General features: G+C 42.3%; 2 protein-coding genes across 9 annotated transcripts in view, besides 4 other annotated features; both read right to left on the minus strand.

Annotated features, from left to right (window-relative positions):
• FBXO10 (F-box protein 10) overlaps positions 1 to 4098 on the minus strand; it is a 65489-nt gene extending 61391 nt beyond the window's left edge. For 3 of the 6 annotated variants that reach the window (NM_012166.3, XM_005251439.6, XM_047423222.1), the window contains exon 1: positions 3929 to 4098. Coding sequence is in view for 3 of the 6 variants with exons in the window: in XM_005251439.6 (XP_005251496.2) it covers positions 3929 to 4096 (168 nt within the window). In the remaining 3 variants the exon portion in view is untranslated. The other 3 variants (XM_047423220.1, XM_047423219.1, XM_017014619.2) reach the window with 3 other exon arrangements.
• Positions 3752 to 4131: a silencer, noted in NCBI's record as "silent region_19909". NCBI's record gives its function as "represses an Ori minimal core promoter by ATAC-STARR-seq in GM12878 lymphoblastoid cells {active_cell/tissue: GM12878}" and the evidence as "EXISTENCE:reporter gene assay evidence [ECO:0000049][PMID:35858748]".
• Positions 16131 to 20315, minus strand: TOMM5 (translocase of outer mitochondrial membrane 5). 3 transcript variants are annotated; one of them, NM_001001790.3, is made up of 2 exons: positions 20130 to 20315; positions 16131 to 16650 (listed from the first exon to the last, which is right to left on the minus strand). In NM_001001790.3, exons 1-2 carry the CDS (start codon positions 20248 to 20250, stop codon positions 16616 to 16618), a joined length of 156 nt encoding a protein of 51 aa, NP_001001790.1. In that variant the 5' UTR covers positions 20251 to 20315; the 3' UTR covers positions 16131 to 16615. The 3 variants fall into 3 exon arrangements, with proteins under 3 accessions (NP_001001790.1, NP_001127957.1, NP_001127956.1); NM_001134485.2 differs by having other exon boundaries at positions 20028 to 20315; NM_001134484.2 differs by having other exon boundaries at positions 19971 to 20315.
• Positions 19912 to 20671: an enhancer, noted in NCBI's record as "active region_28401". NCBI's record gives its function as "activates an Ori minimal core promoter by ATAC-STARR-seq in GM12878 lymphoblastoid cells {active_cell/tissue: GM12878}" and the evidence as "EXISTENCE:reporter gene assay evidence [ECO:0000049][PMID:35858748]".
• Positions 21630 to 21924: a silencer, noted in NCBI's record as "tiled region #11948; K562 Repressive DNase matched - State 4:PromP". NCBI's record gives its function as "represses a minimal TATA promoter and a strong SV40 promoter by Sharpr-MPRA in K562 cells {active_cell/tissue: K562}" and the evidence as "EXISTENCE:reporter gene assay evidence [ECO:0000049][PMID:27701403]".
• Positions 22324 to 22393: a silencer, noted in NCBI's record as "silent region_19910". NCBI's record gives its function as "represses an Ori minimal core promoter by ATAC-STARR-seq in GM12878 lymphoblastoid cells {active_cell/tissue: GM12878}" and the evidence as "EXISTENCE:reporter gene assay evidence [ECO:0000049][PMID:35858748]".

Genomic DNA, 25640 nt, shown 5'->3' on the forward strand with positions numbered 1-25640 from the left:
ACTCCTGGTAGGAAAGTAAACTGTTCGACACTATCTAGTAAAGCAATTGTACTCTAACATATATAACCTAAAGAAACTTGTTCAAATACATCAGAAAATATCTAAGGATGTACTTGGCAGTCAGAAACTATAAGCAACTCAAGTATCCATCAACCACAGGATGAATACATCTATTGTGACACAGCCATACCATGAAACACTGTTGGCAACGAAAATAAGTGAGGCCGCCACGTGGATGCATCTCACAAACAAGTTGAGCAAAAGAAGCAAAACACAAAATGCAAAAGTATGATTCTATATGTATGAAATTAAAAAACTTAAAACTATATTGTTTAGGGATATATACATAGGTGATATAATTACAAAGAAAAGCAAAAAAATGATTATCACAAGATGATTTCTTCTAGGGGAGGAAATTATGATTTGGAAGCAGGTACTGAGTATTGGCAATGTTCCAGTTCTTGACATGTTGGTGATTACGTGTGTATTTCCTTTAGAGTTATTTGCTAAACTATATATTGTGTTTTTTACCATGCATATTTGCTGTATTTCATATTCAAAAAGTTTAAAACAAATAAATGAAATAAATATACTGATTATTGTTTCTTAGAAAAATTGAGAAAACTAAAATCCTTTATTTTTAAATTAAAACCTTGCCTGCAAAATCCCTAACAGGGTACATGCCAAGTAAATTTTCCAGAATGCCTAAATCTGTGTGGCTCAGGGTGACCTGACGACCCCTCTTTACATATGGAAAAGTAAGGTGAGTAGGCACCCAAAGTCCTGGGGTAGCTATCTTGTTGAAGGCTGTCATTCCTGAGAATCATCGGTAGGCAGAACCCTGGAGAGTATGTGGAACCAATTTGCCAAAGGGATTTGGGTTAAGGTTAAGAAGAGAAGGGACTGAGCCCACAAACTCTGATAAGAAGTTTGAAAACAGAGACATCTCTTGGGTGGTCTAGATGACCATGACCAAGGTTGCTAGCAGGAAGGGCCCCAAATGCCCTAAAAGAGAACTCTCCAGGACACCAGGGGAACCCAGCCTGGTGAAAAGCTCAACAAAAGCCCAGAGTGAGGTGCTTTGGGGAGAATGGCTGAGCACGCAAGCATAAATGAAACAAGCTCTAACCTTGGAAAACCAAGCATGGAATCATGCTGGCAGAGATTTGGTCCAATAAGGGCATTGAGCAGCAGTGATCACACATCCGTGGACTGTGTAGGACAGCTCTTCAACAGTTATGCCATATAGCTGTGTCAGGAATGACAATGTGTGTGGACTGCTCAGACAATGCAGTTCTCTCTCCTCTGGAGAGTGACAGTAAGACTGACCCCATTGGAATGTATAAGCCCCCAGAGAGGCTGGAGAAGGAGACACTGGAATTCTCACTAATAAGGACATTAGAGAGGACTTGGGAGTCTACTTAGAAAAAAATAAGGAAAGACAAGAGTGAATGTAAACCCAACTTGTGAAATGAGACACACATGTTAAACATCTAAACTGAAATAGACAAAATCTTAATCAAATGTCTCTTTGTGTACATTCCTTTATGTATACAGTATCAAACATTTTAGACGAGTGGGAAACTAATAATCACTAAACTAAAAGAGGGTAATGAGAGAAATTAGCAGACATTTCAAACAAAACCCATGACAGGTAACTCAAGAATAGGTTCATTCATTAAGGCAAACTGAAAGAACAAAACACTTGTTCCATCTATTTCCTGACTGAAGCAGGTACAAGGAATTTGTTTACTTCACATCTTCCTGTGAAAAGCAAGTGATGTCTTCTTGGTTGCCCAGGACACCATCCCTCCCATCTCTGAGAGCTCTTGCTGACTCCCTATCTACATCATCAGAGCCCCCACTAATCTGCCCTCAGTTTTATCCCTGCCAAAGAATCTGAGGTCCCTAAGGCCAGAGTCTACGTATGTTTTTATCTATTTCTACTCACTCCCACTCCTCTTGGCACTGCCACCAATGCACGTTTATTGAAGGAAAAAAGGAGGGAGGGAAGGAAGGGATAGTGTAACTGCACTGCAACTGAAAGAAACCAGAGAACGGAAACTCATGGTGACCTGGTGACTGCTTGAGCATTTATTGCTTAACAGCTACTTGTGCGATCATAAAAATACAATTCCCCTGATAACCACGGCAACCAAAATGATGGCACTATGGTGAAGGCGGCTCTTCTCAGAAATCTAAAAACAATAATAGGCTTGAAACCAGAAAGACAAAGAAATCCAAGTGCTCCAGGGCAGAAGGAAATCCTTTCTTAAAAGCCCTGATAAAGCAGCTTTTTCTCCAGTCTCTCAAATCTCACCAGGCTCCAGCAAGGGCTCTGGAACTGGTGTGAGGGATCAGGAAACAATTCAGGCCTCTCTGTGTGCTCCTATCCCTGGAGGCCAGCTGTTATGAGGTAAGCTCACTGGGAGCTGCAGCTTATTGTTATTTTAAAATGTACTGAGAACGGGCAGGGAGATGGATATATATATAAAACATTATATAACCTCAAACTAACATAGCTAGCTCTGGAAAAAGCCCCTTGAGGACAGGGACCATGTGTGTCTTGTTCACAGCTCTATGTCCAGATCCTAGTAGGTGTACAAGACAGAGTAGGGGTTCCATATAGCTGCTGAATAAATGCGGAATGAGATTAGAACTGAGGGAAAGCACAGTGCCTGGTAAAAGGTCCATCCTCTCCACTACCCACTGCCAGCACTCTGTTGGGTCCTGAGCAAAATCAAAGTCCTGTCGTCCTTCTGGGTCCAGTCTCTCCATTTGCAAAGGAGACAGCTGGATTAGATGGTTTCCCAGGCATCCTCCAGCTCTGACAGTCAATCACCGTACTGTGTTTTTTTTTTCGGTGGCTACACATGCCTGGCACTTTTCTCTCCCCTCAGAGGGAATCTGATACCAATCTGCTCAAGTAAATTGATGTTCCCATCCAGCCTGACTCATATGGTAGGAACAACAGGTTCATATGCCAATTGTAAAAGAGAAGGCAAAGGGGGCCCAGAATGAGAAAAAGAAAAGGTCTTACAAACCAAAACGGCAGTTTTCAGGACTAAAAATATAGAAACAAATGTGATTATTCTGCTGAAAAAGCCCTTCACGTGGGGCAATCTCTAGCTTACTAATAATGCTTATATTAACAGCATTATCTACTGAGGCTTTTGTGCCAGACACTGTGTGCTAAACCCTTTACAATTAATCCTCCCAGCAACCCATGAGCTTATTACCTCCTTTTCACAGATGAGGAATCAATCTGGCTGAAGGTCACAAAGCCAGTAAGTGGCAGAACTGTGATCTGAACCAGAGCTAACTGACTCCAGAGTTCTGGCTCCTCAAATGACTTTCCCCTCTGTTCTTCACTGTAGTCCTAAGAGCGAGGCAGGACAGGGGTTATCACTTTTTGTTTAAAGATGAAAAAACCGTCTGAGAGGCTTGAGATTTGCATAAAATACACAGTGGGTGCCCAGCCCCATATTTGCCCCTTGAGATTTGCATAAAATACACAGTGGGTGCCCAGCCCCATATTTGCCCCTGCGTTCCTAGGTGAAGGCTCTTCCCATCCCAAGAGTCAGCTTCTTCTTCTTCGACTTTACTTACACACTCGAAAAATCTCAGGGCTGGAGGCACCGCGGAGATACATGCTCCGCGTCCGGTAGTTTTACGGGAGGGTAAACCAAGGCATAGCTCTCCGTCGGCGCGCCTGAGCCTCCGGATGCCGGGGGACCGCGGAGCCGCGGGCGGCCTGAGGGTACGCCTCATGGTCCTGCCAGACCCCTGATGCCCGAAGCCCGACCAGACGCTCAGCCTCGGCCAGGACTGAGCGGCGCCTCCTGGGTCGGTCGCCTGGGGAAGCGCCCCGGGTCCCCTCCCCCGGCCGCCCAAGTTCGCCCGCAGCCTCTGCGCACCGGCCGCTTACCTCACAGGGCGCTCGCCCACCGCGGAGTCCGGGCCGCGGCCGCCGGTGCCCTGGAAGCCACCCGCCGCCCCCGCTGGAGCCGCAGCAGCCGGTAGGATTGCGGCGTGCGGCCAGCCCCGCCCGGGGGCGGACAGCTGCCTGGGGATCGTGCGGAGCCGCCGCCGTCATGTGACGCGCAAGGCGGCGAAGGATGCCGGGAGCAGCTGGCTGGCCGGGGCTGGGCTTCCCGACCACCGCGCATAAAAGCTGTATCTGCAGGAGGGGCACCGGGAGGCGGGAGGAAGGCAGACGAGGAGGGGGCGCGTGGGGCTTCGGGTACTGCAAAGGCGAGCTTGCGGAAGGACGATTCAGGCTCGTGTTGCGTGGCCCCAGAAGGGGCAGAAATAGAACCAGTGGGTGGAAACTGCAGGGAGGCATGCTAAGGCCAATACAGTGTAAATAAGATTCCTGCGAGCACCAGTTATCTAACAGTATAAGGAGCAGTTTCCTGGGGTGCTAGGCACCCTGTAGATGAGCATGTAGGGTCTGGGTTCATTCACTGAACAAACTGACCATTGGCTACCTGCCAGACAATGTACTAGGAGTACATATTAAATTAGTTGTATGTATGGCGCTTAGCATAATGCCTGCCACAAAGTAAATGCTGTATGTTTGTTGCTGCTGGTGCCGTTACTATTATGGGCACAAAAGTGAACAAAGCAGATATGGTTCCTCTTCTCCTGAAGTTAATTCTGTAGTGGAGAAGGTAGACGGTAATCAAGTGTCATTTAAACCAATATGTGTTTAAAATTGTAGAAAATGCACGGAAGGAGCTGTAATTTAAAAATAGGGGCCAGGTGTTCATGCCTGTAATCCCAGCGCTTTTGCAGGCCGAGGCTGGAGGAAAGATCACTTGAGCTCAGGAGTTCGAGGTTAACAGTGAGCCATGATTGTGCCACTGCACTCCAGCCTGGGTGACAGGGCGAGACTCTTGTTTCAAAAATAAAACTAAATAAATTAGGGACCAAGGAAGGGTAGTCAAGGAAGACCTCTCAGAGTAAGATAAAGAGTTAGCCAAATGGAAGAGGGGCAGGGTAAGCCCTGTGAAAACTCTTGGACCAGGTGGGTTGGGTTGGAGGAGAAAAGATCGCTCTTTGTGGAAATGGAAAACGTCTAGCTTGTCTGAAGCTTTTTAACGGGAAGAACAATATAAGTGAGGTCAGAAAGGTAGGTAGGGGCCAGATCACGCAGCACTTAATAGGCCATGATAAGGATTTTAAAATTGTACGTAACAGGAAGCCATCGAAGGGGTGGAGGATTTGATACCTTTTAAAGCAGTATGTCAGCTACTATGTGAAGACAGGAGTTAAGGGTGGAAGCAGAGATTGGTAGCTTAACCTATTAACTGGGCCCGTGGAGGTGCTATTTATTGAAATGGGAACTATTGTAAGGGGAATATATTTGGAAGCGGGGGGAGATCAAGAACTCCCATTTGAACTTGTTAAATTTGACACTGCCAGTTAGAATGACTATTAACAAAAAGACAAAAAAATAACAAATGCTGGTGAGGACATGGAGAAAAGGGAACTCTCATACACTGAATTATACAGCCAGTATAGAAAAATGCATGGAGGTTTCTCAAAAAAGTAAAACTAGAACTGCCATATGATCCAGCAGTCCCACTGCTGGATATTTATCCAGGAATGGAAATCAGTATGTCAAAGGTATGCCTGGATCCCCATGTTTATTGCAGCACTATTCGCAATAGCCAAGATATGGAAGCAACCTAAGTCTTCATCAACAGATGAATGGATAAAAAGAATGTGGCATATATACACAACAGAATACTATTCAGCCTGTCATTTGCAGCAACACAGATGGAACTGGAGGTCATTATGTAAAGTGAAATAAGCCACGCATAGAAAGACAAATATCACATGTTCTCACTCATACGTGGGAGCTAAAAAGTTGATCTCATGCAGTTGGCAAGTAGAATGACAGTTACCAGAGGCTGGGAGGGGAAGGGGATAGAGAGAGGTTGGTTAATGGGTACAAACATGGATAGAAGGAATAAATTTTAGTGTTCAATAGCACAGTAGGGTGACTGTAGTTAACAATAATTTATTGTATATTTCAAAATAGCTAGATTTAAATGCTCCCAATACAAATAAATGATAAATTTTTGAGATGGATATTCTAAATACCCTGATTTGATCATTACGTATTGTATGCATGAGTCAAATATCACATGTACCCCATAAATATGTACAATTATCTATCAATTAAAAATAATTAATTTTGAGATGCCTGTGTGTCATCCAAGTGGAGTGATTAAAAAAGCAATTCACGGCTGGGCGTGGTGGCTCACGCCTGTAATCCCAGCACTCTGGGAGGTCGAACGGACGAATCACGAGGTCAGGAGTTTGAGACCAGACTGACCAACATGGTGAAACGCCGTCTCTATTAAAAACACAAAAATTGGCTGGGTGTGGTGGCGCGTGCCTGTAATTCCAGCTATCAGGAGGCTGAGGCAGGAGAATCGCTTGAACCTGGGAGGTGGTGGTTGCAGTGAGCAGAGATCGTGCGCCACTGCACTCCAGCCTGAGTGGCAGAGTGAGACTGTGTCTCAAAAAAAAAAAAAAAAAAGCAGTTCACTTGTAATCCCAGCTACTCAGGAGGCTGAGGCAGGAGGATCGCTTGAACCCAGGAGTTTGAGACCAACCTGGGCAACGAAGCAAGACCCTGTCTCTAAAAAAGAAAAGGAGTTGGATACAGACCTCCGGAATTTACGAGAGAATATCAGCTATAGAAACATAATTTACCAAGAATACTATGAAAAAGAAATTATTACACGAAATTGTGGCCTGAAATAATTGACCCCGTGGTCCTACTGACCTTTTTCAGTCCCTGGTTCTATAGAATATATTCCATAAAAATGTATTCCATCTATTATTACCATATGGTGAATGTGGTATGATTCTGGGTGAGGTCTAAGTTACCATGTAGCTGGTCTCTTTTATAAATAAGAAAACCAAACACTAAAACCTAAAGCCAACAATTTATTTTAAGACACAAAGTTGTACAGTAGCTAGGTATAGTAGAAAGACCACAGGGGTAGTCTCACACTGCAATGAGCCTGATGATTTACCTTGCTGACTGACAAAGCTATGCCATATTTAATCCTTTGAAAAGTATCTTACTCCATGAAACTGGCAGTCCAGATATGACTGTCAATAAACAATCAAAAGCTTGAGTTTCTGGATTTGTGCCAGCTAACATTATCATTTTGGTATTTGTATAAAACAGCTGACTTTCAAAGTGCTACAGCAGTGTCCTACAAGAGCAAGCTGTCTTCCCTATTAGTGGGGCAAGCATCACGTGCCACATGGGAATTTTTGTTTGTTTTGAGATGGGGTTTTGCTCTTGTCGCCCAGACTGGAGTGCAATGGCATGATCTTGGCTCACCGCAACCCCCACCTCCCAGGTTCAAGCGATTGTCCTGCTTCAGCCTCCCCCGTAGCTGGTATTAACAGGTACCAGCCACTAGGCCCAGCTAATTTTTGTATTTTAGTAGAGACGGGGTTTCACCATGTTGGCCAGGCTGGTCTCAAACTCCCGACCTCAGGTGATTCGCCCGCCTCAGCCTCCCAAAGCTCTGGGATTACAGGCATGAGCCACCACACCTGGCCAGGGGTTTTTTTTTTTTTTTTTTTTTTTTGAAACAGAGTCTCGCTCTGTTGCCCAGGCTGGAGTGCAGTGGCTCAGTCTCAGCTCACTGCAACCTCCACCTCCTGGGTTCAAGCGATTCTTCTGTCTCAGCCTCCCAAGTAGCTGGGACTACAGGCTTTCGCATTTTCAGTAGAGACAGGGTTTCACCATATTGATTAGTCTGGTCTCAAACTCCTGACCTCAGGTAATCCACCTGCCTCGGCCTCCCAAAGTGGTGGGATTACAGGTGTAAGCCAATGCGCCCAGCCAAAAATATAACTACTTAAATATAAGAACATCATTCACAAACTACAGTTGAGCCCTCTCTTCTTTCTGCCCTCATCTCACCTCTGCATGCCTCTATCCTACCATTAGACTCGAGAGGAAACTTACTCATCTTTATACACTGGCACCTGGCTGGTGTTTACTGGCAAATGTATAAGTGAACACACAAAATCTCCTCAGCCATGGGAGCTTTATTTACTTTGCTTTCCAGAAAAAGTAGGCTCACACAGAGTGGTGTCCCAGGTCAACATAGTGGACATGCCATGCTTTTTGGCTGCCCAGCATCTGAGGTCCCTTCCTACATTTGGGAATTCCTTGTTTATGAGTTTGCTGGGAAGCAGAACATGCCTTTCACTATAGAAGTGGAAATTCCAGGTATTTTCTCTGCTTCTCCTTGTGATTCTATCATGCTACAAATTACTCTTGATTTTGAATTAAGTACCAGAGACACAATAAAGTCTCTGGAATAATTTTCTCTGGGACCATGGCAAGTGCGGCAAGTTCTTAGAGCAACACTGGCTGCCATGATCCAGGGTTCTGTGCATGTGGCTTTGGCAAAGTAAGTGGTGGCACCTAATGTTCAGCAGAAATGGCGTCCTCACTGCCCCAGCTCTGTGGAGTATGACCAAGGAACAAAGGGTGATGTTCCAGTTGCCTACTCTCCAAGCCTAATTCTCTAGGCCTCCTGGTGATACTGAACTCCCTGTTATCCTTTTAATAAAATACTTTTCTTTTTCTGTCAAAATTGGATTTTGGTGTTTGCAACTAAAAAATCTGACTCACATAGTCACATGATAAATAGCAGAGCTGAAACTATAATCTAGGACATTGAAATCCTAATTCTAGTATTCTTTCCATGTAGACAGATCTCTACTTTCCAACAACCCACAATTTTTACATTACATATCGCTGTCCCTAAATCATTTTGTTCACCGAATTTATACTTGAATATGTAAGCTGATTAGTGAACATTTCAAGTGACTGTATTTCAAATGCAGTATTATCTTTGTACATCTGTTTATGTAATAGTTTCTTTCTTTTTTGCATTTTTGGCCTCTATATACTTAAGTGGAAATGAAAATACCCCGCACTTGAACAAACGTGGGAGTTAGGGGCCCCGACACCTGCACAGTCACAAATCTGCATGTAACTTTGACTCCCCAAAAACTTAACTACTAATAGCCTACTGTTGCACAGAAACCTTACCGATAACATAAAAAATAGATTAATATGTATTTTGTATCATTATCTATTATATACTGTATTCTTACAACACAGTAAGCTAGAGAAAATGTTAAGAAAATCACAGAGAGAAAAAGCATTGACAGTACTATACCGTATTTATTTAGATTCTAAGTTTAGGTTGTCTGTTTACAAGATTAGTCGTGTCTGAAATCAGAGCAACTACAGCTGCAGACCTCAATCTATAGTACATATCAAGAATTCAACTTTTTCCTTTAATGTCATGACTTTTCTCTGCTTCCTGGGAGCACTTCCAGCATCACTAGTGGCACTCTGTATAGATCCCATGGAGTTATTCAAAGTTTTGTGGTATGGTATTAAACACAAAAAATACATGAGACAGAGAGGGATCGCTTTTACTTTGATTTGCAATTTACTGGAGCGAGGAACTGCTCATGCAGAGATGAGTGTCACATGGCATTTTAAGTGGATACCTATAACACTTGAGCTCCCTGCAGTGGCAACAAGAGGTGGCTATGGACTTACTGTATTACACTATTACAAAAGATAATTTTATGCAGTTATGATTTAATACTGCATCTTTCTCTTGACCTCAAATTGTGCTATGTATGGTCTGTGTACATAAGTTTTGATAAATCTTAATTTTTTATAATAGATGTGTGCATTTTATGAGTAAGACTACAATCTACATATATTTTATGCATTCATGACATCCTTTATCTTAAATTTTTTCAATATTTCTAGACTACATATGTGTGCTTTTTTCAAATTGTTGCAAATCTCCGATTTTTCAACGCATTTTTTGAAAAAAATCTGCACGTAAGTGGACCTGTGCACTTCAAATCTGTGTTGTTCAAGGGTCAACTCTACTATTACTAATGTGACTGAGAAAAAGATGAAAAACTATTAGACACGCTTAAAGTAGATCTTTTTAGCCTTATAATGACTGTTGGACTAAAACCAGCTGTGTTTTATTTCTGAATGAAAGAAACAATTTAAGAACATATTTCATAACTCTGAAAATATTTCGTATGTTTAAAAGACAAAGTGCATAAATGATTTTGTAATGTTTTACATCTCAGTAACAAGTATATTCAACTTTTACATATGTGATTTCTATGTTTTGTGTACTTATGCTAAAGTAGGCAACTGACACCACATAGGCATATCTGTAATACTGAGCATACACAAGTAGCATGTAAGTAGCAACTGTTCACTGTCTCCTGGGTGATGTCCATAACACAGAGTAAGGAAAAGGTCTTGTGTTTTATCTCAAATTTATTATGACAAATTTCAAAAAATACGTTATTAAAGGTTGTTCTTGTGTAGTGGAATTTGGAACTGCAGTATACACAATAGCCAGCAGATGTCAGAATGGAATCTCTTAAGACTCAAGTATGAAAACACAATAAATAACAGGAGTTTCTGGAAGGACTGAGGCTTTCTTGCTCTTCTGTGCACAACACACTTCAGTCACACTGGTCTTTCTTCCTCAAATACATCTGCTTTAACACTTTTTCAAAGATGCCCCGCTCTATCTGGCCAATTCCTATTCACCCAAACCTTACTTTATGTGTCTCTTCCTAAGGGAGTCCTCCCTACTGCCTCCCAGGCTCAAAATCGAACCCATTATTTTCCCCTTGAAACTTGTTCCTTACTTCAGCGAATGGCACCGTCAACCCTGCACTTAAACCAGAAATCAGGGAGTCTTCTTTGATGCCTTTCTTTCCTCACTACACGTATCTAAATAAATGCTGAGCTGCTCATATACCCCTCTGACCTCTCCTTCAAATACAGTACCCATATTGCATCCAATATTGTTTTAAGTGGACAATTCTGAACTCCCCACCTTGATCAACATGATCTTTGCCTGACCCTCCCTTTACCTAGTCACCCTAGATAACCTGGACCTATCCCTTCAGGTTCCTTTAAATGTCATGTTTTCAGGTAAGTTCTCTCTGAGCCTCCAGCAAGGTTTTCAGGTCTTTGAGATATTTACTCACATGGCATCTTATGGCAGATTATAGACCTCAAAAAGGCAGTCCCCCTGCCCGTCCATATCCTCAACTCCTAGCACAGTGCCTGGCACATAGCAGGAACTCAGTAACGCTGATGAATGAATTTGTAATCTCAGGGCTTTGATCTATGATAAAATGAACATCTTTAAAGTAATAAAAGTGATTTGGTGACCATTTCACACTTAGCCAAATTTTACTCTTTACTTTAGAAGGTGTCCTGTAGGACAAATCCGGCCAGCCATCTTTTCTGTAAATAAAGTTTTATTGGGACACAGCCACACCCACTCATTTGCATATTGTCCCTGGCTGCTTTCATACTACCAACTGCAGTTGGCAGCTGAGAGATCGTAAGAGCCCACAAAGCCTAAAATATTTACCATTTGCCCCTAACAGAAAGCTTGCCAACCCCTGCTTTAGTGGCTTGACGACTGAGCTACATGCAGAATTTATGACATGATCAAGCTATAAAAGCAAAATAGAGTAAAAAGAATGGTGCCTGGATCTTGTAAGAGACAAGCTTAGCTCAAGCAAAGAGGGGGAAGAGAACAAGAAGTCCTGATTCCTGTACTTGTTCTTCATTCCAAATGTAGGCCCAAATTTTCCAGCCTGTGAACTGCTGAACATGTTAACTGTAATGCTAACTTACTCCACAGAAGAACTATAAAGAGCAATGATAAAGCAGTTTTTTTTTTTAATGTTGCACTGACAGCAGGAAGTACACTACCTTAACTTAGGAGCAGCATTCCTACTAAGCTGGTAACCTGTTTGTGGAGAATAAACATTTTTCACTATCCCCATTTCTTTCAACGTACCCCTTTCAAGAGTTTACCAAACTCAAATTTGCTATGGTTCTTTCTTATTTCATGTTACATATTCAAACAAACAAACTGTATATATCTCCCCAACTGTTTCTTAATGTACTATTTTAGAACTGCTTATTCCAAGTATTGAGCCCCTCTGTGGCGTTTATGGCCTGAAAGTTAAAAAGCTGGTCACAAAAACTGAACCATCACATTTTCTCTTACTCCAGCCTGAACATACACTAGAATCCAGGGTAACAATTACACTATTTTCCTCCAAGAAAAGCATGTAAGGATGGGGTACAAGGAATAAATAAACATTAAAAGTCCCCTGGATAAGCACAGACTGACTAGAAATAATTTTTTTAAATGAAAAAAAAAAAAAAAGTCCCCTAGGCCTTGGCCAGCTGCTACTCATTGGCCACTGAAACTTGCAGTCTCAACCTCTCCACCTGTAAAATGGCATTATTATTGATTGGTTAAGGCTATTTTTAGATAATGAACTTAAGTGTTTGGTAAGTTTGAAGTTTGTACACAATTAGAGGATGAGTATGCTATCTCAGAGCATCTGGAAATAGGAATGAGATCTGTCTATGCTGTGAATGCCAGCACAAATCACTTCTAAATGCCTTATACCAAAGACTAGCCATTAATAACATTTACCAAATGTCAAGCAATTGTGCCAGCTGCTCTACTTGCATTTTTTCACTTAATCCTTACGACACTTTGAAGTAGAGAGATGTTTCTATTATCCTAATTTTATAGTTAAAGAAAATGAGATTCGGAGCTCACTTGCTGAAAATCACCCATCTCGTAAGTATTGGAGCCAACATTCAAAATCAAGTCTGCCTGTCTTTAGAGCCAGTATTCATATGACCACAGTGCCATACACTACACCTTCTTAATTTAAGAAATAAATACAAAACCACAGAATTAAAATACATGCTTTCCAGGTTAAGATGGTAGATGAAGCACGTATACCTACCTCCACTCCCTCCCAAAAATCCCATTAAATGACGGTAAAGGTTTTTGTTTTAAGATATAAACCTAAAAGGATGGAAGAAAAGAGGAAACAGGAATAAAACGTTAGAAGCTGGAAAATAGGTAGATCAACAGTAAATAATGTAGTAGACTCTGAAAAACTGAATTCTGAGCCAGCGGTAGAAAAAGAAAAAAACCCACAAGAACCCCCAAACAACAACAAAAACTCACAACCTAATTTATATCATGGAATCCCTAAAAGGCTCAGAAACTAGTGGCTTCAGGTGCCTCTAGCAATAAGGGGTAGAAGGGTAGACATTAAAATAAGAATTGGTGCAAGGTTTAAGTAATCAGATGCTCTCTGCAACTCTATGCAGCAAAACAGCCTCCATTACACAGTACCCTCTCAAAATGATAGTTTTTTTTTTTAGGCCAGGTGCAGTGGCTCACACCTGTAATCTCAGCACTTTGGGAAGCTGAGATGGGCGGATCACCTGAGGCCAGCAGTTCGAGACCAGCCTGGCCAACATGATGAAACATCATCTCTACTAAAACTACAAAAATTAGACAGGCATGGTGGTGTGCGCCTGTAATCCCAGCTACTCAGGTGGCTAAGGCACAAGAACCGTTTGAGTCAGGGAGGCAGAGGTTGCAGCGAGCCAAGATCGTCCACTGCACTCCAGCCTGGAGCAAAACTCTGTCTCCAAAAAATAAAAAGTTTATTTTCTGAAAAGGGTAAAATAGAAGGTCTCTAGATTATGGGATGCCAGGCAGTTTGGGCAGAGGTACTATACTCAAAACAGAGACGCAGTGAGCAAATACATACTGGATATTGAAACACACACACACACACCTGTCTGTCCTGAGCCTCACCACAGCCCTATTCCTTTGAATCCCAGAACGTTGGCAGGGCCTCATTCAGCACTTGGGAGATTGGAAGAGTCTTTGTTCTCTGAGCAATGACCAGCTCAATGGGAAATAACTAAAGATACAGACGCAAAAAGTTTTCTCAACAAAAATGGCCCAATAGATGGCCCTTTGGCAAAGTTCAACATCAACAAGCTCCACTCCAGGCCTTTAATCCATGTTAGTTCCCAATTTTTAAGTGTGAGCAGACAACCAAGGAAAGCATCTAACATGAAACAAAAAAAGAGAAAAGCAATTACAGATAAAATAGAATATAAAGGAAAAAGAAAACATTAAAAGTACTATTGTTCTAAAAAGAGAGCAGAAGGAAAAAGAAGGGGAGGAAATCAATAAAAACCTATAAGCATTCATTGGTGGATGCTACAAATTAATACGACTGAACTCATGGAGACAGAGTAGAATGATGGTTACCAGAGGCTAGGAAAGGTTAGGGAAGGAATGCAGGGATGGCTAATGGGTACAAAAATATAGTTAGATGTAATGAATAAGTTCTAGTATTTGATAGCATAATGGGTGATTACAGTCAATAATAATTTACTGTACATCTAAAAATAACTAAAAGTATAACTGGAATGTTTGTAACATAAATAAATTATAAATGAGGTGACAGATAATCCCGTTATCCTGATGTGATTATTAGGTACTGTATGCCTGTATCAAAATATCTCATGCACCCCATAAATATATACACTTACATACCCATAAAAAATAATAAAATTATTTTAAAACCTACAAAATTTGAGAAATAAAGATACAAGTTTCAAGTTTAAATAGGTTCACCAAGTGCCCACCACAGTGTATTAAAATAAACACACACTAAATGATGTCATCATGGAATATAAGCATACTAGGAACAAAGATCCTTGTTTCTCAGGAAGAAATACTTAGTCCCACAAAAAAATCAGGAATCAGAATGATTTCAGATTTCTCAGCAGCAACACTGAAAGCTAGAGGCTTTGCTTTAAAATTCTGAAGGAAAATGATTGCTAATCTAGAACCCTATATTCATCAAACTATAGAATAAAGACATTTTTAAGGCCAGGCACAGTGGCTCATGCCTATAATCCCAGCACTTTGGGAGGCTGAGGTGGGCAGATTACCTGAGGTCAGGAGTTCGAGACCAGCCTGGCCAACATGGCAAAACCCTGTCTCTACTAAAAATACAAAAATTAGCCAGGCGTGGTGGCACGTGCCTGTAATCCCAGCTACTTGGGAGGCTAAGGCAGGAAAATCGCTTGAACTGGGAGGTGGAGGTTGCAGTGAGCCAAGATCATGCCACTGCACTCTAGCCTAGTTGACAGAGCAAGACTCCGTGTTAAAAAAAAAAAAAAAAAAAAAAAAAAAGACATTTTTAGACCAGCAAGGTCATTCACCTCCTATGCCACCTTTCTCAGGAGGACACTGCCAGAGAAAACAGGCTCCATCAAACAAGGGAGTAAACCAAGACACTAGGTAACAGAAAACGAGATATAATAAGAGAGAAGAAAAGGAATTCCCGGACAATAGTGAAGGGAGTTCCCAGAATACAGTCACATATCAGGCATAGAGAAGGGAGTTCCCAGAATATAGCCACACACATCAGGCATAGAAGGCTATCAGTCCAGTCAGGGGCGGGTCAGAAGACTCCAGGAAACGCTTACTCAGGAAAATGAAACAGAGTACCTAATAAAGCTGATTGCTGTGAATGATTTAGATAAATGGCAAAAAGTTTAGTTGATTTAGTGGAAATTCCATAGAAAAACCAAGCCTAGAAAAAAACAAAAAGATACACAGCAAAAGAAAACCAGGTACTATACTCAGAATCCTAATGATACTAATCTACTCAAGATCACACTACGTTATCCTTTGGAAGGAAGAGATGACAAGATACGTGTGAGTGATGGCGCTAAGGACAGGAAAGAGACCTAAATCCCAATCACGACCGTCACATTATTTAGAGACCAAAAGGTAAATACCAATAAAATCAGCTAAAAAGAGGTGTATGTAGTTGCTCCTGGGGAGAAGGTTAAGGACTATCCCCCCTCCACTCAACAAACTTGGAGAACTATTTGGCTTAAAAATATAGTACTTTTTCCTTTGGTAGTATTAATATTTCATATACTCAGCATCAAGCAGTAATGCTACCTTTCATTAAGACTGCCTGGCAATAAAACACAATGACACTTCATCAGGATTGGCAAATTCTCTAGTCCAAAACAAGATGAACTTACTGAAGCTTGCAATAATCTCAATATAATACAAGTCTCACTAGTGATTGTTGGTTTGCAGCAAAAAGTAGGATAAGAAAAATAGAAACCCAACTTTTCTTAATTGATATGTTTATTAAAAACATAGACTAATAATGATCCTGTGCTTAAATGTCATTGTGGTTGTGTGCTGATTTCCACAAAACATAATATAAGAGACTCTTCACAAATACACTCTGGGCAGAAGAAAAAGGTAAACAGAAATGACTGACAAGACAGTGCCATTTCAGACACAGCTCCCTTAATACTTGCTAGAAAACGGAGTTTGACATTATTTACAATTATACCAGTATTGTCAGAGGCCAAACGTCACAGGGATAAGGGTACACCAGATCACGAGACATCGTTTCATACTTCCCAAATAGTTTTATATTTTAGCTTTGAAGGTCAGTTACCAGAGCCAAACTTGTTCTTAACAAGCAGAATTTTATGTCCATTCAAAGAGTCTCTTACACCTTTCTGGGCCTATTCACTTGCAGAGAGGAGTCGAAACTGTAACCAGGCTCTTCATATCGTGCATTCATATGTGATGTCCTGTCTTCATATGCTGTCCAATTTCTTTAAGATAAATGGAGCTGAAAGAAAAACAAATCTAAAATTAGTTTTCAAATCTATTAGCCCATAGGCTACATTATAGAATTATCAGGTTTATTCAACATGTTTTTGAAAATAACTCCAAGTGATGGTCAAGCATGTGCCTGTACAGCCCAGCAAAAGGGACTAGTTGCCTTCCAAAGCAGCCCATTCCACTGTCATTCAGCTATTATTGTAAATTTCATTCTTATACTACATAAAACCTTTTCTCCAGATAGTTTGCCCCTTAGGGCCATAAAGTATAAATCCAATTCTCTTTCAAATGACAAGGCTTTACTCTAGCGATTTATTTTAACTGTAAAAGGAACAAAACTCTAGAGGAAACAAATGGGCATTTTTCACCTTTAAAAACTCATTTGAAAGGCAGAGGATATGGGAAAACACTGAACTAGAGAACCGGAAGAGCTGGACACCTATTTTGGGTCTCTTACTGATTAGCTATATATCACTTAACATACTCTAGATCACATCTGATACAGTCCTACCTCAGTCATTAAGAGGGTCTAATAAGATCATGTACATAGAAATGTCTAGAAAACTAAGTGTCGACATATAGATCTAAAGAAGTGATATTACTGTCCTGTGTAAAAGTGTTGTGACCAAAAAAAAGCTACCCAAATCACCTTCTTTCTCAATACTCATACTAATAGAATTTTGTTAACATTATTTTATTTATTTATTTTTTTCAGCCTCCTGAATAGTTGGGACTATAGGCACATGCCACTATGCCTGGCTAATTTTTGTATTTTTTTAAAAGACGAGGTATCACCATGTTGCCAAGGCTGGTCTTGAACTCCTGAGCTCGAACAATCTGCCCGCCTCAGCCCCGCAAAGTGCTGGAATTACAGGCATGAGCCACTGCGCCCAGCTCAATTTCTTAATATTAAACTGAAGACACTGAGATCTGTCAGAAGCTGATAAAGTCAGCAGTATATCCAATTTTTCCTACTAATTCTTAACGACAGAAAAAAATCCATGAAATGATCAATGGATAAGCAAAATGTGATACATCCTTCCAACAGAAACTTATTTAGCTATCAAAATGAAGTTCTGACACATGCTACAACATGGATGAATCTTGAAAATGTTATGCTAAGTGAAATAAGCCAGACACAAAAGGCCATGCATTTGACAATTTCATTTAAATGAAATATCCAGGGCCAGGTGTGGTGGACCACACCTGTAATCCCAACAGGTTGGGAGGAGGAAATGAGAAGGATTGATCGAGCCCAATAGTTTGAGACCAACCTGGGCAGCATAATGAAACCTCGTGTCTACAAAAAATAAAAAATTAGCAGGGCGTGGTGGTGTGTGCCTGCAGTCTCAATTACTCAGGAGGCTGAAGTAGGAGGATCACTTACTTGAGCCTGGGAGGTCGAGGTTGCTGTGAGCCATGATCACTGCAGCCTCCACCTCTGCACACTAGCTTAGGCAACAGAGCAAGACCGTCTCAAAAAAAAGAAAAAAAAAATCCGGACTAGACAAATCCATAGAGAAAAAGTAGATTAGTCGTTGTGAAAGGCTGGAGAAAAGGGGGAAATGGGGTAACAATGAATTCGTATGGTGTTTCTTCTAGGGGGAAAGAAAATACTGTCAAATTGTGATGGCTGCACAACTGACTGCTAAAAACCACTGAATTGTACACCTTAAATGGGTATATTGTATAATATACAAATTATATTTCAACTTAAAAGTGAAAATAAACAATTCATATCAAATACAAAGGTCACTGAGAAGCAGCAAATATTTCACTGGCAGCTAGATCAATGAAAAAGGCAGGAGGCAGGAAATAAGTAAATTTGGGAGTTGCAAGAAGCTGTTGAACTAGGATGATACGGGTGTTTCTGTTCCCCAAGACTCGCTCTTCTGTGAAAGCAGAGTAATACCATAGACAGTGAAAGAGACACAGAATAAGGGACATCTCAGTATCAGTGAGCTCTGGCCTAAGCCCAACATGAGCCTTCAATAGGATGACTTTGGTATGGCCTTCATTTATTTGAACCATCCCTGCCGCTCCATCCAGACTGGCTGGCCAATAATATACAGCAAGGAACAATGGAAAGGATACTGAATTGAGAACGAGAAGGCAGGGCATTCGAGAACTGATCATAAAGCTGCTTCCAGTTCTTATATTCAGTGTTCCTATAACTCTGATACCTTCCTTCCTTGCTAAGTCCCCTCTGAAAATCAAGTTCTCATTTGTAAAATGATATAAAGAATCTTAGGCCCTGCCTCCCTCAAAGGTCCACTGTCAAGACTATATAATGGGAGTAACTTCCTGTCAATTTTAAGATATAGAAAAAAAAACCTCAAATATTTGCATTAATCCTATAGACTCATATTCTTTTTTCCCATTTTTTTCCAAAAAACTAATGACTCACTTCACCCTCTATACAAAGAAACAGAAATGAAGCAAAACTTTTTGGATTTCAAAGGTCAGCACTTTTGAAAGGGAAGGAACCCGGCCGCTGGTTCACGCCTGTAATCCCAGCACTTTGGGAGGCTGAGGCAGGTGGATCACCTGAGGTCAGGAGTTCGAGACCGGCCTGGCCAACATGGTTAAACACCCATCTCTACTAAAAATACAAAAATTAGCCGGGCGTGGTGGCGCGCGCCTGTAATCTCAGCTACTTGGGAGGCTGAGGTGGGAGAATGGCTTGAACTCGGGAGGCAGAGGTTGCAGTGAGCCAAGACTGCGCCACTGCACTCCAGCCTGGGCAACAGGGCGTGACTGTGTATCGAGGAAAAAAAAAAAAAAGAAAAGAAAAGAAAGGGAAGGAACCTGGTACTGAGTTAAGAGTTCTGGATTTTAGGTCAAGATCATTCACTGAATCGCTGAGTGACCTTTGGCCAGCCTTCCCAAGAAGGCTGTTTCTTCCTTCTAGAACTATGGTTCTGTTTCTCTGTTTCTCTGTCTGCAAAAACGAGGGAGTTCCTCTAGGGATAATTACTTGAGCTCTTTCAGCTCAAACATTCTTTTTTTTGAGATGGAGTCTTGCTCTGTCACTCAAGCTGGAGTGCAGTGTCGCGATCTCGGCTCACTGCAACCTCCGCCTCCTGGATTCAAGCAATCCTCCCACCTTAGCCTCCCGAGGAGCTGGGATTACAGGCGCCCGCCACCACGAACTCCTGACCCCAAATGATCCGCCCGCCTCGGCTTCACAAAGTGCTGGGTGGGATTACAGGTGTGAGCCAACGCGCCCGGCAGCTCAAACATTCTTCAAGCTGGGAGAACCAGGATGATTAAACACGCGCGCCGGCCACCACGTGCACTTCAGTGCCCGGACCCTGACCCGCAGACCTCAAACCGCGCATATGCCCGTCGCCTTCAACGCGCACCCTCCTTGCTCCCCGCTACCGTTCAGCTCAGTTCGAAGGCCCCGATGACCCCTTAGAGTTAAGGGGTGCCCGTCGGTGAGCTCCCCGCTGGTCTCACAGTCACAGCCCGGGAGACACTCACTGACTCGCAGGAGGGCCACGTAGATGAGAAAGTTCCGTATGGAGGAGATCACATCCTCGCGCATCTTCCGTTTCATCTCCTCCGGGTCCAGCTTCGGCGCGAGGCCCTCAATCCGGAACATCGCGGCTCTGACTTAGCAGCTTCCAGCCGCCGCGCTCTGCTCTCCACGGTGGCCGCCTCGCGCCCGGAACTCGGCCTATCCTCACTTCCTGTTCCCGCCCTCTCGTTGCCACACTCGACGATGGATGCCTGCACGGGACAATCCACGTCCTGACCCAGCTGATCTGAAGTGCGGTGTGAAGCGGGCGGCCGCAAGCTCAGCAACGCAGGCTCTGGTTTCTCCACGCTGTCTTTAATAACATCTGTCATACAAAAATCAGCCCGGCTCGGTGGCGCGTGCTTACAATCCCAGCTACTCGGGAGGCTGAGGCAGGAAAATCGCTTGAACCCAGGAGGGGGATGTTGCAGTTAGCCGAGATCGCGCCACTGCGCTCCAGCCTGGGCGACAGAGCGAGCGAGACTCCGTCTCAAAATAATAATAATAATAATAATAATAACAACAACAATAACATCTATCTTGAGCCTGGAGCGCTGCGCTGTAAAGTGCTTTTACGCGCTGGAGGGGGCTGTGCACATAGGTACCACTGTAAACAGTGATAACTAACATTTATTGAATATTCAATATAATTGTCCCCCGTGAATTCGATATTATAATCTTCGTTTCCTAGATTAGACAATTGAAGCACAGAGATCTTTAAAACATCTTGCCCAAATGTGCTTTAATTTTTATTTATTTTTTTATTGCTAATTGTGGTGGTTGAGACTGTTCTGGAACTCCTGGGTTCCAGGATCCAAGCGATCCTCCCGCCTCGGCCTCCCAAAGTGCTGGGATTACAGGCGTGAGCTATCGCGCCTGGCCCCCAAATGTGCTTAAAAATACCTCAGAGGGGGAAAAAAGTATTGAGAGAGATAAGTGATGTCAGCAAAATATTAAAAACTGCTGGTGACTAGTACTTCATTTTAGTTAATTATTCTAGTCTTTCTTGAGTATGTTTGAAACTTTACATAAGTTAAAACAAAGAGACAAAGATGAAACTTTTTTTTTTTTTTTTTTTTTTTTGGAGACAGAGTCTCGCTCTGCCGCCCAGGCTGGAGTGCAGTGGCGCAATTTCAGCTCACTGCAACCGCTGCTTCCCAGGTTCAAGTGATTCTCCTGCCTCAGCCTCCTGAGTAGCTGGGATTACGGTTGCGCAGCACCACGCCTGGCTAAATTTTGTATTTTTTGTAGAGACGCGGTTTCACCATGTTGGCCAGGCTGGTCTTGGAAACTCCTGATCTCAGGTGATCTGCCCACCTCGGCCCCCAAAAGTGCCGTGATTACAGGCATGAGCCACCGCACCTGGCCTTTTTACAGATTATTGAAGCACAGAGGTCTTTAAAATACTGTTAGCCAAGTAACACAATATGTATAAAGCAAGTTCAAATCTGATCAGCATTTTACAGATGAATAGAAAGAGGCTCAGAAACCAAGTCCAGCTTTGGTGTGAAGCCCTTTATCTGGAACATCGCAGCTGAAGTCTAAAGTGCACTAAAGTCTAGTCATTCTGCTGGTGATGCACGGGCAGGGTTCTAATGCAGATAATTATCATGTCAAGTTGAATTATCTTTCCCCTGCACCCTACTGCTCATCTGTTAGTCTTTAACAGTTAGTGCCCACATGGATGGACATCGCTAGAGTCAAGAGTTTGATGCAACCAGATTTCCTGTCACAGAAGCATCCAAACAGAGTTAGTAGGCTGCTGCCCCAAGTTACGCATGCCAACTAGCCATATCTACTTCTTACACGCAAGCCAGATGACTGAATTGCTCACATAATTCAAAACCAGAATGTTCCTTCTTGACTGCATATTGCATAGCAACAATGGACTTTGGATAAATTAGGACAATAATTTACTATGAGAGCAACTAATAACTATATGCACGGTCAACTTTCTGGTTGACAGAATGTAAGGCACTGGGGCAAGAAAGGGAACTCATCTGCTTATTCCAGCTTTAGCAACCTTTTGCATCTGTAATTCATGCAATGGAATAGCAGAGGCAGCTCTGGAATGGGAGGGGCTGACTCCCAAGGAATAGCCTCCAGCCAACCCTTGGTGAGTGTTTAGAAAGCCTGCAGTGATGTTGAAAGCAGCAAGAACTGCGGAAAGAACATGAACAGGAACACTGGAGACATGGACTCTAGATCTGGCACTGCTGCCAACTAGTGGTGTGATGAGGGACGAGTATCTGATTTCACTGCAACTCCATTTCTTTCTTCTTCTTTATTTATTTATTTATTTATTTATTTTAGACTGAGTTTTGCTCTGTCGCCCAGGCTGGAGTGCAGTGGCGTGATCTTGGCTCACTGCAACCTCTGCCTCCCGGGTTCAAGCGATTCTCCTGCCTCAGCCTCCCGAGTAGCTGGGACTACAGGCGTGTGCCACTACGCTCGGCTAATTTTCTTTTTTCTTTTTTAAGAGATGAAGTTTTGCTCTGTCGCCCAGGTTGGAGTGCAGTGGTGTGATCATAGCGCACTGCAACCTCACACTCCTGGGCTCAAGCAGTCCTTCTCCTGCCTTAGCTTCCTGAGTAGTTGGGACTACTGGCACGTGCCACTACACCTGGTTATTTTTTTCTATTTTGTTAGAAATAGAATATTGCTGTGTTGTCCAGGCTGGTCTCAAACTCCTGGGCTCAAGTAATCCTCTTGCCTCAGTCTCCTGACCGAGGCATGAGCCACTGCACCCAGTTCTTCCATTTGTTTAGTTGGAAAGGGAAGGCATATATTGAGATGCTTTTGAAAGTTTCTTCCAGTTCTAACAGTCTATGCATTTTTTAAAACCACCTATGCATCTTGAATTTTAATTGTGTCATCTAGAACTTTCTGTTATGGAGTGTATGACTTTGAAAATATCATCAAATATGGTCAGACATCAAAATGGTCAGTGTGTGTGTGTGTTCCACGATAGGATGGATGTAAAAATAAGGCATATCTCATCCATCCGAATAGTGAGGCAAAGTGATTGGGAAGGGGTGAGTTCTTGTTACGTGGTTCCAGTAACTTCAACCCCTAATGCTGATAAAATTTAGAAAAACAGCTCACATATGAAACTATCAATTTATTTTCTCTGCAGAGATGCTTTTGAGTAACTTTCATAGGAAATGAAAGACGGGATAAATTAGCCAAAAATAATGTTTCTTGGTGAAAAGAACAGATTTTAAGCATTTGAATTTTATTCCCTAAATTAAAGCAGTACTTTCTTAAATTAATTTTTTGAGACAGGGTCTCGCTATGTTGCCCAGGCTATTCTCAAACTCCTGGGCTCAAGGGATCCTCCTGCCTCAGCCTCCCAAGTAGCTGGGATACAGGCAAGCGCCACCATGCCCAGCTAAAGCAGCACCTTTACACCCGGTAGGTGATATGGTAGCAAACGGCTAGCCTGTTAAAGGGCAGTATTATTTTCATAACAATTTTCTTAAGTCTGGTGCTTGCGTACCTGTAGAGACAGAAGTAGGTAGTGGATAGAAATATGGGGTAGCTAGATCTTGGAGTGAAGAATTGGTGTTGGTTACAGGCTAGGAGGATGACCCATTCCTGTCTCAGATACGTTCCTCCTGGTGAATTCAGTTTTCCCCTTGCATGGTTCATCTAGTTGTAATGAAGGAAACTCATGAAAAGAGATTCGCTTCTCTTTTTTGGCTTTTTAAAAAAGTGCTTATTTATTTGGCATGTAGGTGGTGGTATTGTCCAATGACAGTGGGTTTAGGTGAGGCAAATTGAGAAAATATGCTTCAGGAAGTCAACATTGGATGGAGCTATTTCATATCTTGGACCCCTCATTCTTCCTCAATGATGGGATGATTAGAGGTTGGGTCTAATCTTTAAAGTTGCCCACATTTCTAAAAATGCTGTAATTCTGTGTTCATCTTTCCTGTTCTTCCTACATAACCTTGAACTAAAAGCTAAGAGCAAAGGATTCACTGTGATTTGCCGTGGAAGGCAAAAATAAAAAGTATGCGCGCATAATTTAATATTGATATTTGTATTATTTAGTCTGATCACAGAGGAAATGGGAGCTGATGTCACAGCCTGTCTTGTTTTCCATTTAGATCCCAGGAGGGATTAAAGAGCCATTTCCTTTGCCTCGACTTCCCAGACAGTACAGTACACATCATTCAGAGTGTACAACCTACTCATAAGAGAATTAAGTGCTTTAATTTTCATCACTGGTGAGGAATTTGTATTTGCAAGGTCAGAGATTGACTGATGACTCATGATTGGGGAATAAATCCAACATAAAATCACAGGAAGTTTGTGATTCCTAATTTATAGGGAGCTATATAGGCTTTGAGTATTGAACAGTTCAACCCCTTCATTTGGCAGATGGGGAAACTGAGGCCCAAAGGGACGCTAGTTAGAACTGGCTTGGACTAGGATAGGTCTCTGGGCTCCCAGTTTAGCCCCTTTCCCCATCGTACCTTGTTGGTTTCGATACTTTAACTGTGAATATTCTCATTGACGATCCTCCCCTCAGAAGTAAAGATGAAAAGAATGGAGTGTTGTTAAACCCCAGCTTGGGAGGGACAGGATAAGGGGTGGCTGTTACTCATCAATAGACTACAGGCAGCCCTTCTTTCCACATTGCCTCACCCATCACCAGTTGTTAATCTGGACTGTGTTATTATCCAGTCCCACACCTCTCCTTCCTCATTCCTTCAGGAGGTGAACATGGCCTGGAATTCCTAAAATAAACTTGACTTTAAAGTCCACTCAGAACCAAGATGAATGAAATAAGGGTCAGGACAAAGAAAGGACCCTTGGGCTCTCAGTAAGGATTGTTCCATGATAGATGCTAACCAGAGTCCTCACCTAGCAGAGAGGATAACTTACTTCTAGAAATTACTGCTCACTAAGGGACAGATGCCTCTTTAGGAAGAGGGGACCTTTGAACCTTAAAGGGAGGTAGAATGTTGATAACCTTCACCTCACTGGCATTTGCTTTCTATGACACCCCGTTCTCAGTTCTAACCTTTAGGGCTTTGTTGTCTGGATAATTCATGAATATTTGATCTCTTGCCATGTAGACTGCAAGCACCTCAAGTACAAGGAACATGTCATCGCTCATTCTTTCATCCTCCAAGCAACCGAGGACAGGTATTTACATGGTAGAAACTCAGTAAGTACCCCCAAGTGAATGAGTGAATGAATGCATTTCATATCTACTAGTGTTTAGAATTTAAAAATTGCTGGCTTTGTATATTAGATTGAAAGGAAATTGTCCCCAAAAGAAATTTCCCTCAAATACTACATAGTATTATTATTATTATTTTGACACAGAGTCTTGTTCTGTTGCCCAGGTTGAAGTGCAGTGGCATAATCTCGGCTCACTGCAACCTCTGCCTTCTGAGTTCAAGCAATTCTCCTGCCTCAGCCTCCTGAGTAGCTAGGATTACAAATGTGCACCACCACGC

This window comes from Homo sapiens, chromosome 9 (genome assembly GCF_000001405.40).
Source record: "Homo sapiens chromosome 9, GRCh38.p14 Primary Assembly".
NCBI lineage: Eukaryota > Metazoa > Chordata > Mammalia > Primates > Hominidae > Homo > Homo sapiens.

Excerpts from the sequence above, each read along its gene's own strand:
- TOMM5 (NM_001134484.2), bottom strand. The coding sequence starts at position 20,250 with ATGTTCCGGATTGAGGGCCTCGCGCCGAAGCTGGACCCGGAGGAGATG.